Raw genomic sequence first — 12,134 nt, forward strand, 5'->3', positions numbered from 1 at the left:
CCCAGCTATTTTTTTTAGGGTTGCAGTCCCTGCTTTTATTGTGTGTTTTTTGGCCCTGCCTCTACCTGTTCCCCTTACTGGCCCAAGCCAGGCAGAGCAATGTTCATGTGTGTTTCTGTGAGCACATCTATATATGTGCAAGAGCCTGCCTGCTGATGGGAAAGGGGAGGGACATGGATCCAAGTCGCCTTTCCCGCTGAGGGCTAGACAGAGAGCAGGGTCCATTAGCTGAGGTCCTGGAAGTCCTGTCTTTTATACATGGAGCTGGAGGGCCATAGTTCCTGACTCAGCTCATGGAACACTGTTGCTGATTCTTGAAGAGACAAAGGGGAGAGAGTAGGGGATCACATGGGACTTCAGTGACTACAGAGACTTCTGATACCAACTACCTGGAGTTAGGCCAAACTGCACAGGTTAAAAGCACAGTCCTCTACAAGACTGCTCTTCAGACACCAGCCACAATTTTGGGGGTTCCCAGGACCATCCTCACTTCAGAGCAAGTAGCAACAAATTCACGGGTTCCCACGTTCCGCTCAGGTTTATTTCTTTTTTGGCACAATCTCAGCTCACTGCAGCCTCTGCCTTAGCCTCCTGAGTATCTGGGACTACAGGTACATGCCACCATGCCCGGCTAACTTTTGTATTTTGGGTAGAGACGGGGTTTCACCCTGTTGGCCAGGCTGGTCTCGAACTCCTGACCTCAAGTTATCCGCCCATCTTGGCCTCCCAAATTGCTGGGATTACAGGCGTGAGCCACGGCACCTGGCCCTCCCCTCAGGTTTCATAATTCACTAGAATGACTCATAGGACTCAGAACAGCACTCTACTTAAAATTACAGTTTTATTATAGCAAAGGGATACAAATCCAAATGTGCAAAAGAGAGAGATACACAGGGCGAGGTCTGACAGGGTCCCAAACACAAAGATTCCTTGTCTTGTCCCTGTGGATTCAAGACATGTTACCCTCCTGGTTTGCTGGTATGTGACAATATGCAGAGTATTGCCAATCAGGGAAGTTCACTCATGTGTCTATAGTTTTTATTGGGGTTTCATTATGATTAATTGGACCATTGCTCACATAATGGAACTCAATCTCCAGGGTCCCACCACTCCCGAAAGTTTGGGCTTATATGTTGTGACTTAAAGCCCCAAACCTCTAGTCATATGTGCGGTGTTTCTGACGTGGTTAGCCCCCATCCTGAGTCATCACCAGAGTACAAACTACGTAAGGGCCTACTGTGACTCACCTGTAAGCATAAACTACCAGAGCCCCTGTGAATATCAAAAATACTCCTCTGTCATTCAGGAAATTCTAAGTTTAGAGGCTAACTCTCAAGTACAGGGGACAAAGGCCAGCTAAATTCTTTATTATACAGTAGTGACAGAACTGGAATTGACTCCATGGGAATCTTGAACTTGAGCTAACATTTATCCAGCCCCTATTGTGTTCCTGTATTAATACATTTCTTCCTCACAATAACCCTGTGATGATGGTACCATTATCTCAATTTTACAGAGGAGGAAACTGAAGCACAGAGAGGCTAAGTAACCTGCTCAGTGTCACATGGATAGTACAAGATGGAACTGGGATTTGAACTCAGGCTATTTGGCCTGCACTCTTAACCAGTATTCTCCAAATACCATGTTGAGCATTGAGTATGTGCTAGGTGCTGTGCAGTGTTATTTATCTTTATAGCAGTATTGTTTCCATGTGAGATCCCTGTTTGACTTTAAAGCCTGTTTTTTTCCTACTGTACTACAATGCTTCTCCTAGCAGTAGCAGGCAACAGGGAAACTGAAAACAAGCAATCCTGGCACTTGAAAGGGCAGTGTTATAGTAGTGAGGAGAAAATATGGCTTCAAAAAGTGTTGGTTTTGGCTGGGCATGGTGCCTCACGCCTGTAATCCCAGCATTTTGTGAGGCCAAGGCGGGCGGATCACTTGAGGTCAGGAGTTTGAGACCAGCCTGGCCAACATGGCAAAACCCTGTCTCTACTAAAAATACAAAAATTACCCGGGCATGGTGGTGGGTGCCTGTAATCCCAACTACTAGGGGGGCTGAGACAGGAGACTCGCTTGAATCCAGGAAACAGAGGTTGCAGTGAGCCGAGATCACGCCACTGCACTCCAGCCTGGGTGACAGAGCAAGACTGTCTCAAAACAAACCAAATGGGTTGGTTTACGCATTACATGCTGCAGAGTATTCAAAGAGAGTGAGGCTTGAATGCAGATCCTTGTATTTCTTGATTATGTGAGGCTACTTTTGGAGAGCACAATGTCAGTAAAGTGGTGAGAAGGCCAATGCCAGATTACAGAGGATTAAGTGCGAAAGTAAAGTTTGATCAAGCAAGAGAAGGAGAGTAGTTTGAGAGAATGGCAGAAACAAGGGAGTGATGTATTTTTAAATTTTATTACAGAAGCTTTCAAATGTGTAAATAAAATGAAGAGTAGCATAATGAACCTCATATACCTATCAACATTCTATTATTTTATTGGTCTCACCACATTTTTTTTGGCCTTTTTATTTAAAACTAATTTTAGGCATATAGAAAAGTGCAAAAATAGTAGAGAGAGTGCCTGTATTCCCTTCGCCCAGATTCCTCTAATGCTAACGTTGTACATAAGCATAGTACACTGATAAGAACCAAGAAATTAACATTAGTAAAACACTATTACCTATAGACCATATTTGAATTTTAGCAGGTTTTCCACTTATGGCCTTTTTTGTTCCAAGATCTTATCTAGGATCCCACATTGCATTTAGTTGTTATTTTTCCTTCATTTCTTCCAGTCTGTAATGGTTCTTCAGTCTTTTCTTATCTTTCATAATCTTTTCTGAGTATTTTAAAGCAAAGCCCAGACATATCATCTTCATTTGTAAATACTTCCCTACGTTTCTCTAACAGGTAAGGACTTTTTCTTTGTTATCATACATAACAAAACTAATAATAACTGCACTCCAGCCTGGGCAACAGAGTGAGACTCCATTTCAAAAAAAAAAAGAAAAGGTAAATTGGATCCCCATATACACCTTCAACAATTATCTACTTACGATGAATCTTCTTTCTTCTACAGCCCTACCTACTTTCTTTATTATTTTGAAGCAAATCCCAGGCATCATTACATTAGTAAATATTTGGTATGTATCTCTAAAAGATAAGGATTCTGGCTGGGCACGGTGGCTCATACCTGTAATCCCAGCACTTTGGGAGGCCGAGATGGGCAGATTGCTTGAGCCCAGAGGTTCGAGATCAGCCTGGGCAACATGACAAAACCCTGTCTCTACTAAAAATTTAAAGAGTAGCCTGGTGTGGTGGCACATGCTTACAGTCCCAGCTACTTGAAAGGCTGAGATGGGAGGATTGCTTGAGCCTGGGAGATTGAGGCTGCTGTGAGCTATGATCATGTTATTGCAATCCTGCCTATATGACAGAGCAAGACCTTGTCTCTAAAAAAAAACAATAAATAAATAAATAAGAAATTTTTTTTTGATTTTGTATTATTTTAGAGTTGCCTTCTTGCTATGTTGCCCAGGCTGGAGTGCAGTGGCTGTTCACAGTCGTGATCATAGCACCCGCAGCCTTCAACTTCTGGCCTGAAGGGACACTCTCACCTCAGTCTCCCAACTAGCTGGAACTATAGGTGTGTGCCACAGTTCCCAAATTAGAATTCTGCTTTTAAAGAGAACATAACCACAATAACATTAATGCATGTAAAAAATTAATAACTTCTTAATATATCTCAGGGTTCAAATTTCCAATTATCTCCTAAATTATATTTTTATAATTTAAAAATTGGCCCACTGCCTGTTTTTCTAAGTATAGTTTTCTGGGAACAGAGCTACACTTATTTATTTATGTGTTATCTTTAGCTGCTTTCATGCTACAATGGCAGAGTTCAGCAGTTGCAACAGAAACCATATGGCTCTCAAAACCTGAAATATTTACTGTTTGACCCTTTACAGAAAGTTTGGTGACCCCTGCTTTAGGCAATTATCTTTTAGAATAATTAAAAATAGGAAGAAATGTCATATTTACTTTCATTTTAACTAATTTGGGAGATCATTTATTTATGTAAATCCAAGTTTCCTTCTGATATCATATTCCTTCTTCCAGAGGAACTTCCTTTAGCATTTCTTGTAGAATATATTTTAGCTTTTGCTTGTCTGAAAAACGTTTTTACTTTGACTTTATTTTTAATAGTTATTGCTGGGTTTAGAATTCAGTGTTGATAGTTTTATTCTTTTAGCACTCTAAAAGTGTCCCTCCATTTTCTTTTGGTTTGCATAGTTTCTGGTGAGATGTCTTTCTTTGTTTATTTGTTTGTTTATATTTTGTTAGAGATGTCTATTATAATTTTTTTTTTTTTTTGAGATGGAGTCTCGCCCTGTCACTTAGGCTGGAATGCTGTGGCATGGTCTTGGCTCACTGCAACCTCCGCCTCCTGAGTTCAAGCTATTCTCCTGTCTCAGCCTCCCAAGTAGCTGGGATTACAGGCACCTGCCACCATGCCCAGCTAATTTTTTGTATTTTTAGTAGAGATGGGGTTTCACCATGTTGGCCAGGCTGGTCTTGAACTCCTGATCTCAGGTGATCCACCTGCCTCGGCCTCCCAAAGTGCTCAGATTACAGGCGTGAGCCACCATGCCGGCCTTTTATTGTGATTCTTATCTTTGTTCCTGTAAATGCAATGCCTTTCTCTTTGGCTACTTTCAAGATTTTCTCTTTATCTTTGGTTTTCAATAGTTTGTGTCTAGGTTTGTGGATTTTTTCATTTTGTCCTTTGGTATTCATCTTGATTGGGGTTCTCTTGGCTTGTATCTGTCATTTGATGTCTCATTATTTTTGGAAAATTCTCAGCTATTCTTTTTTTTTTTTTTTGAGACAGAGTCTCACTCTGGAGTTCAGTGGCGTGATCTTGGGCTCTGCAAGCCTCGACCTCCTGGGCTCAGGTGATCCTCCCACCATAGCCTTCTGAGTAGCTGGGACTAGAGGTGTGTGCCACCACTCCTGGCTAATTTTTAAATATTTTTTTGTAGAGATGGGGTTTCGCCATGTTGCCCAGGCTGGTCTGGAACTCCCTGGCTCAAGCAATCTGTCTGCCTTGGCCTCCCAAAGTGCTAGGATTACAGGCATCAGCCACTGCGGTTAGCCTATATCTCTTCAGAGCCATTATCTTTCTATTCTTCTGGGATTCCAATTATTTACATAATAAGACCATTTAATGTTTTCCCATAGTTCCTAGATACTCTATTCTTTTTTCTTTTCTTCTTTTACTCTTCTCCTTTTGTTTTAGTTTGCATAATTTTGACTGACCTAGCTCTGAATTCTTTCTTTGGTATTGAGGTAACTGATAAGGCTGGCAAAGGCATTCTTTATCTGTTACTATGTTCATGTATTTCTAGCATTGCCATCTGATTCTTACAGTTTCCATCTCTTTGCAGAAATTCATCATCATTCATGCATGTACCTTTTCTACTAGAGCCTTTTGCATATTAAACATAGTAATCTTAAATTTCTTTTCTGATAATTCTAACATCTTGGTCATCTCAGAGCCTGGTTTTGTTAATTGCTTTGTCTCATAGTGGGTTGTTTTTTCATGTGAGTATGGGGGAGATAATTTGTTATTGATATTGAACGCTGGACATCATGTACACACTGCTAGAAGTGGCACATCTCTGCTGCTGAGTTGTCAGTCAGTAGGGGTTAAGTCAGTCTAGTCAGGGTTGAGCTTTGTTTGTTTTGTTGTTGTTGTTGTTGCTATGGTTACCTTCAGTGCATCACCAGCTTCAGATTCCTCTGTTGTTACCTTGAGTTTAGGGGTGGGGGTGCTATGTTGTCCCAGTGTTTTGTTTTTTGTTGTTGTTTTTTTTTTTTTGAGACAGCATCTCACTCTGTTGCCCAGGCTGGATTGCAATGGCGTGATCATATCTTACTGCAGCCTTGACCTCCTGGGCTCAAGTGATCCTCCCACTTTAGCCTCCTCAGTAGCTGGGACCACAGTTAGTTGCATGCCACCATGCCCAACTAATTTTTTAAAAACATTTTTTGTAGAGATGGGGGTCTCACTGTGTTACCCAGACTAGTCTCAAACTCCTAGCATCAAGCGATTCTCCTACCTCAGCTACCCAGAGTTGGGGTTACAGGCATGAGCCACTGCACCCAGCCCCAATGTTTTTATTAATGTTCATGTTCTGTACTCAGCTTCTGTCTTTGCCCTTGCATCTCATGGTGAGTCTCTTTCTAAGCTCTAGCACTTCCTCCAGCAGTAGACTGCTGTTGTTTATTACTCCATACTTGCTAGCCTGGTGATAGGGGCCAGGGAAAGGGGATTCTTTGTTTTCATAGTCTAGTCTCTGCCTTAGGCAGACCATGTGTCCCTGGGTCTCCTGGGTAGCACTTTCTTAGTGATCCTGTCCCCCTCCTAGCTGAAGGAAACTCTTAATGGTCTGGGCCCAGGATGGTTTTCTGTCCATCCCTTAGTAGTAGAGAGCTTTTCCTTTTCCCTTTCTCCAGCTTCAGTGAGTTGTCACCTGTGTTCTGAAGGCAACTTGTTTTTGTCTAAGTGGCTTTAAGGCTCTTTCCTCTAGGGGCTTTTTTCTAGAGAAGAGCCTGTAAGTGGGTGTGAACTCCCCTTGCGTCTATTGCTTCCAGGGATTCTGTACTCTTGTGCTGATCCATACTTGGACTTTAGCAATTTATTTAAAATTTTATTTGAATTCTTACCCATCTGTGTGGTGTGGTGTGCAGCATTGTCTTCCCCTCATGCTTTGCTACTGTTGAGCCAGTGCTGATGTCTCTTCGTGGAAGCACCTGGCTTTCTTTAGATTTCATCCAGGCTACTTGGTCTCCCTACAACTCAGTTCTCAGATGAATTCAGGGAAAGTTATGATTCAGTAAAGTATCTAGCCTTTTCTCATTATTCTACTTGGGGAATGGTCTTTCCAGCTTCCTATATCTTAATCAGAAGTCAAATTACAGTGTTATATAGTCACTTGAAATAGGTGCTATCTTTGTGGTTGTGTGTTTATTTCAATACATGGTAGTTTCATTGGTTTAATTTTTTCTCTCAGTTTCAGGGATTGCTTCCTTCAAATTTTAATTTTGTTTAATAATTGTGTGAAGTGTTTATATGATTGCAAGTCATTTATATGGACAACATATATTGAAAAAAGCCTAGTTTCTCTCCCTGTCTGCTCTATCCTATTCCTTTCTTTCCTCTATAAGAAACCTTTAAAAAAAAATTCTATGGCATGTTTCTTATATTTAAGAAATATGAGTGTGGTTAAGAAATTGTTTTTGTTTTATTTTATTTTATTTTATTTTATATTTTATATTTTATTTATTTTATTTATTTATTTATTTGTTTATTTTTTGTATTTTTTTGTATTTTATTTTATTATAACGGAGTTTTGTTCTTGTTGCCCAGGCTGGAGTGCAATGGCGTGATCTCGGCTCACCGCAACCTTCACCTCCCGGGTTCAAGCGATTCTCCTGCCTCAGCCTCCCGAGTAGCTGGGATTACAGGCATGCGCCACCACGCGCAGCTAATTTTGTATTTTTAGTAGAGATGGGATTTCTCCATGTTGGTCAGGCTGGTCTCAAACTCCCGACCTCAGGTGATCTGCCCGCCTCGGCCTCCCAAAGTGCTGGGATTACGGGCATGAGCCACCATGCCCAGCCTTTTACAAATTCTTTGAACATCCTCATTCCTTCTAAAATTTCAGTATACTGTCTGCATTTCATTTATCTGCAACTGTTGCCCATTAAAAATTGTGCCTACTGGGCCAAAAACTGTATGAGAAGTCATTGCCTCTATTTTCTTAGGAATTTGTAGATTTGAGTTTTGGTTGTAATAAAATTTGACGGATGTGAACATCCTCATTCTTTCTAAAATTTCAGTATACTGTCTTGTGTTTCCTTTATCTGCAACTGTTGCCCACTAAAAATTGTGCCTACTGGCCCAAAAACTGTATGAGAAGGCATTGCCTCTATTTTCTTAGGAATTTGTAGATTTGAGTTTCGGTTGTAATAACATTTGGCAGATGACTATGAATTTAAAAGTTCACATTCTTTATTCACTTTGAAAATTTTATTTGCTCTGTGATTGCCAGGTAACCTGTAAAGACTGTAATCAAGGTATATTTTGCTATTTCCCTGTTTCCCGCACTTGCCTTTATGGTTCATGTAATGCTCATTTTTAGCCAGCAGAGGCCACTAGAGCCTGTTAGGGAGCAGAAGTGCAACAGAAACGTGGCCATTCTAAGACAGTGATTGCTAAAAGGTCACTTTTTAATAACTTTACAATTATTATCTCAGTCTTGCTAGCTTGTGCCATGTGAAGATTTTATGCTAAATGTTGGTGGGCAAGAAGGTGTCTATGACATTTACTTTAGTTTTTTCATTATGTTTAATCTTTAAAGAAATAAATTTGAGGATTATTGTTAACTGCATTGTGTAATGTCTGTTGAGCTAACACCTACTTTCCTATGTAAAACCCTACAAAATACATGGTCCCAACTCTCTAGGAAATGATGATATATATGAGGAATGCTACAGTTTATTACAGGCTTACTTTTTTTCCCCTGACTCTTCTCAGTTTGCAGGCCTTTCAGATATATCCATCTCACAAGACATCCCCGTAGAAGGAGAAATCACCATTCCTATGAGATCTCGCATCCGGGAGTTTGACAGCTCCACATTAAATGAATCTGTTCGCAATACCATCGTAAGTTAGACTAGTTGAGAGAACTTCTGTTCAGTATCATGGGACTAAGTAACTAATAGTACTTTGCAATATTTTCATTTGGTTCACTGATTTTGAATATATTTTATATACTGAAGTTTAATATTTTATCCTAGAGATTAATTTGGTACAGCCTTTTTGGAGAGCAGTTTGGTTATAATGCATATTAATAATCTTAAAACAGCAAGGTGCGGTGGCTCGCGCCTGTAATCTCAGCCCTTTGGGAGGCCAAGGCAGGCGGATCACCTGAGCTCAGGAGTTCGAGACCAACCTGGCCCAGATGGTGAAACCCCCATCTCTACTAAAAATACAAAGATTAGCCAGACATGGTGGCATATGCCTGAAATCCCAGCTGCTTGGGAGACTGAATCGCTTGTCTCCGGGAGGCTGAGGTTGCAGTGAGCCGAGATCGCACCACTGCACTCTGGCCTGGGCGACAGAGCAAGACTCCATCTCAAAAAACAAAAAAAAGGTCTTAAAATGTCCAAATCTTTTTAAACCAATATATTATCATACTTCTCCAAATGTAGTATAAGGAAAGTTTTAAAATGTAAAACAAAAATTTTCAACATTAAAGTATCAATATACAAAGATGTTTATTATAGCATTCTTTGTAATAGGGGAAAGCTAGAAATAAATGAACCACAGATGAGGTATTGGTTAGGTAAATTATGTTATATCTTTGTGGTGGGATGCTAAGCAACTATTATAAATTATGTTTACAAAGTGTTTAATAACGGGTAAAATTCTAGGTGAAAAAATTAAAACAGAATTAGCTCAGTGGTGCTTTGAGAGGTTGTATTTGTATTACTGAACCCTTCTTCCAGTTTCTTGATTTTTTTTTTTTTTTTGTATCTGGCATCTAGGATTCATTTACCAATTAAATTGGGAATGTTAAAAATTTATTTCATATATTGCAAAGAATGTAGTAGCTAGAGAGCAGGCTAATTGGTCCTTGGAACCTCATCTTCTATGAACTGAATGTCACATACTGTGTTTTGTAGAGCAGCTTTTTATAGTACAATTGTTTTAGTTTCTTTAAGCAGCCTATTGGGAGGGCTGTGTTTCTTTTTTATGGATTTTTTCAACATCAAAACAGAACAGATCAAAACAGATGTGGAAAGGTGTTAAAAGTTGGCTTAAGAAGTTAATAGAAAAAGCATACCCTACCTCTCTGGTTTGTTTGTGTAGTGAAGGAGTTGAACTGGAATTATCTGCAAAATTCAGTGAAGAGTTCACAGGAGATTGAAATGAAAGAAATTTTAGCAAATTAAGTAAGGCTGCTGGCAACCTTGGTCATCACAATACAACAAGTTGTTTCTGTCTTTCAGATGCGTGATCTAAAAGCTGTTGGGAAAAAATTCATGCATGTTTTGTACCCAAGGAAAAGTAATACTCTTTTGAGAGATTGTAAGTATATGAGGTTTTTAAGGGTTTGCTTAATCTATCTCACTGTACCTTATCGTAAGTACTTTATAAGGCAAAGTCTCTGTGGTAATAAAACTGACATCATTTTGTAGGATAAAAAAATATGTAAACGAATATGTAAATCAAACTTCTGGCAGAAATTAAAAATTGATTTTATTTTATTTTTATTTTCATTTTTTTTTGAGACAGAGTCTCACTCTGACTTCCAGGCTGGAGTGCAATGGTATGATCTTGGCTCACTGCAACCTCCGCCTCCTGTGTTCAAGTAATTTTCATGCCTCAGCCTCCTGAGTAGCTGGGATTAAAGGCGCCCACCACCATGCCCAGCTAATTTTTTTGTATTTTTAGTAGAGACGGATTTCACCAGGTTGGCCAGGCTGGTTTCCAACTCCCGATCTCAGGTGATCCACCCACCTCGGCCTCCCAAAGTGCTAGGATTACAGGCAGACATTAAAAATTTAGATTGGAATCTCAGAGATTGAAACATTTTGCTTATTATATTGTCCTCATCAGTAAATGTACACTGGCCAGGCATGGTGGCTCATACATGTAATACCAGCACTTTGGGAGGCCGAGGCAGGAGAATTGTTTGAACTCAGGAGTTTGAGACCAGCCTGGGCAACATGGCGAGACCTCATTTCTACTAAAAATAAAAAAACTAGCCAGGCCTGGTAGCACAAGCCTGTAGTCCTAGCTACTTGGGAGGCTGAGGTGGGAGGATTGCTTGAGTCCAGGAGATCAAGGCTGTAGTGCCGTGACTGTGCCACTGCACCCTAGCCTGGGTGACAGAGTGAGACCTGTCTCAAAAAAAAAAAAATATATATATATATATATATATATTTTAAAAAATGCTCTAGTGGTTACTACAAAATACATTTCTGGAGGCTGCTAATTTACAATATTTACATTTATTACATAATATTCCTGGAAGCTGCTGACACATAAAGAGTTAATGATCTCCAAGGGAAAGGCAAATGTTTAAATTTTTGTTTGTTAGTTTTTTGAGATGGAGTCTCGCTCTGTTGCCCAGGCTGGAGTGCAATGGCACAATCTCAGCTTACTGCAACCTCTGCCTCCAGGGTTCAGGAGATTCTTCTGCCTCAGCCTCTGGAACAGCTGGGATTACAGGTGCCCCACCACCACATCCAGCTAATTTTTGTGTTGTTAGTAGAGACGGGTTTTGCCATGTTGGCCAGGCTGGTCTCGAACTGCTGACCTGAAGTGATCCACCTGCCTTGGCCTCCCAGAGTGCTGGGATTACAGGCAAGAGCCACCACCCCGGCCTAAATGTTAAATTAATATGATAGTAAATACCCGTAAACATTTAACAAATTAATAGTACCTTTATTGACAGTTTGATTTTCAAGCCTATCATTTAGTCTGATGACTGCTTTCTTTATTAGAGTTCTGTCAAAACAGACAGCGTCTCATTCTGTTACCCAGGCTCAAATGCAATGGCGTAATCATAGCTCACTGCAGTCTCAAACTCCTGGGCTCAAGCAGTCCTTCTGCCAGTCTCCTGAGTAGCTGGGACTGTAGGCACACATGGCTAGTTTTTAAATATTTTGTAGAGATGGGGGTCTCCCTATGTTGCCCAGGCTTGTCTAAAACTCCTGGCCTTGGCCGGGCGCGGTGGCTCACGCCTGTAATCCCAGCACTTTGGGAGGCCGAGGCGGGCGGATCACGAGGTCAGGAGATCGAGACCATCCTGGCTAACACGGTGAAACCCCGTCTCTACTAAAAATACAAAAAATTAGCCGGGCGTGGTGGTGGGCGCCTGTAATCCCAGCTACTCGGGAGGCTGAGGCAGGAGAATGGCATGAACCCAAGAGGCGGAGCTTGCAGTGAGCCGGGATAGCGCCACTGCAGTCCAGCTTGGGCGAAAGAGTGAGACTCCGTCTCAAAAAAAAAAAAAATAAAAAAAATAAAAAAATAAAACTCCTGGCCTCAAGCAGTCTGCC

At 40.7% G+C, this 12,134-nt stretch overlaps 1 protein-coding gene across 2 annotated transcripts in view; it reads left to right on the forward strand.

Annotated features, from left to right (window-relative positions):
* YIPF6 (Yip1 domain family member 6) overlaps window positions 1–12,134 on the forward strand; it is a 38,232-nt gene that overhangs the window by 4,200 nt on the left and 21,898 nt on the right. Inside the window, exons 2-3 of one of the 2 annotated variants that reach the window (NM_173834.4) lie at window positions 8,599–8,727; window positions 10,077–10,155. In NM_173834.4, coding sequence (NP_776195.2) covers window positions 8,599–8,727; window positions 10,077–10,155 — 208 coding nt within the window. The remainder of the gene's footprint in view (window positions 1–8,598; window positions 8,728–10,076; window positions 10,156–12,134) is intronic. The other variant, NM_001195214.2, reaches the window with a different exon arrangement.

This window comes from Homo sapiens, chromosome X (assembly GCF_000001405.40).
Source record: "Homo sapiens chromosome X, GRCh38.p14 Primary Assembly".
Classification (NCBI taxonomy): domain Eukaryota; kingdom Metazoa; phylum Chordata; class Mammalia; order Primates; family Hominidae; genus Homo; species Homo sapiens.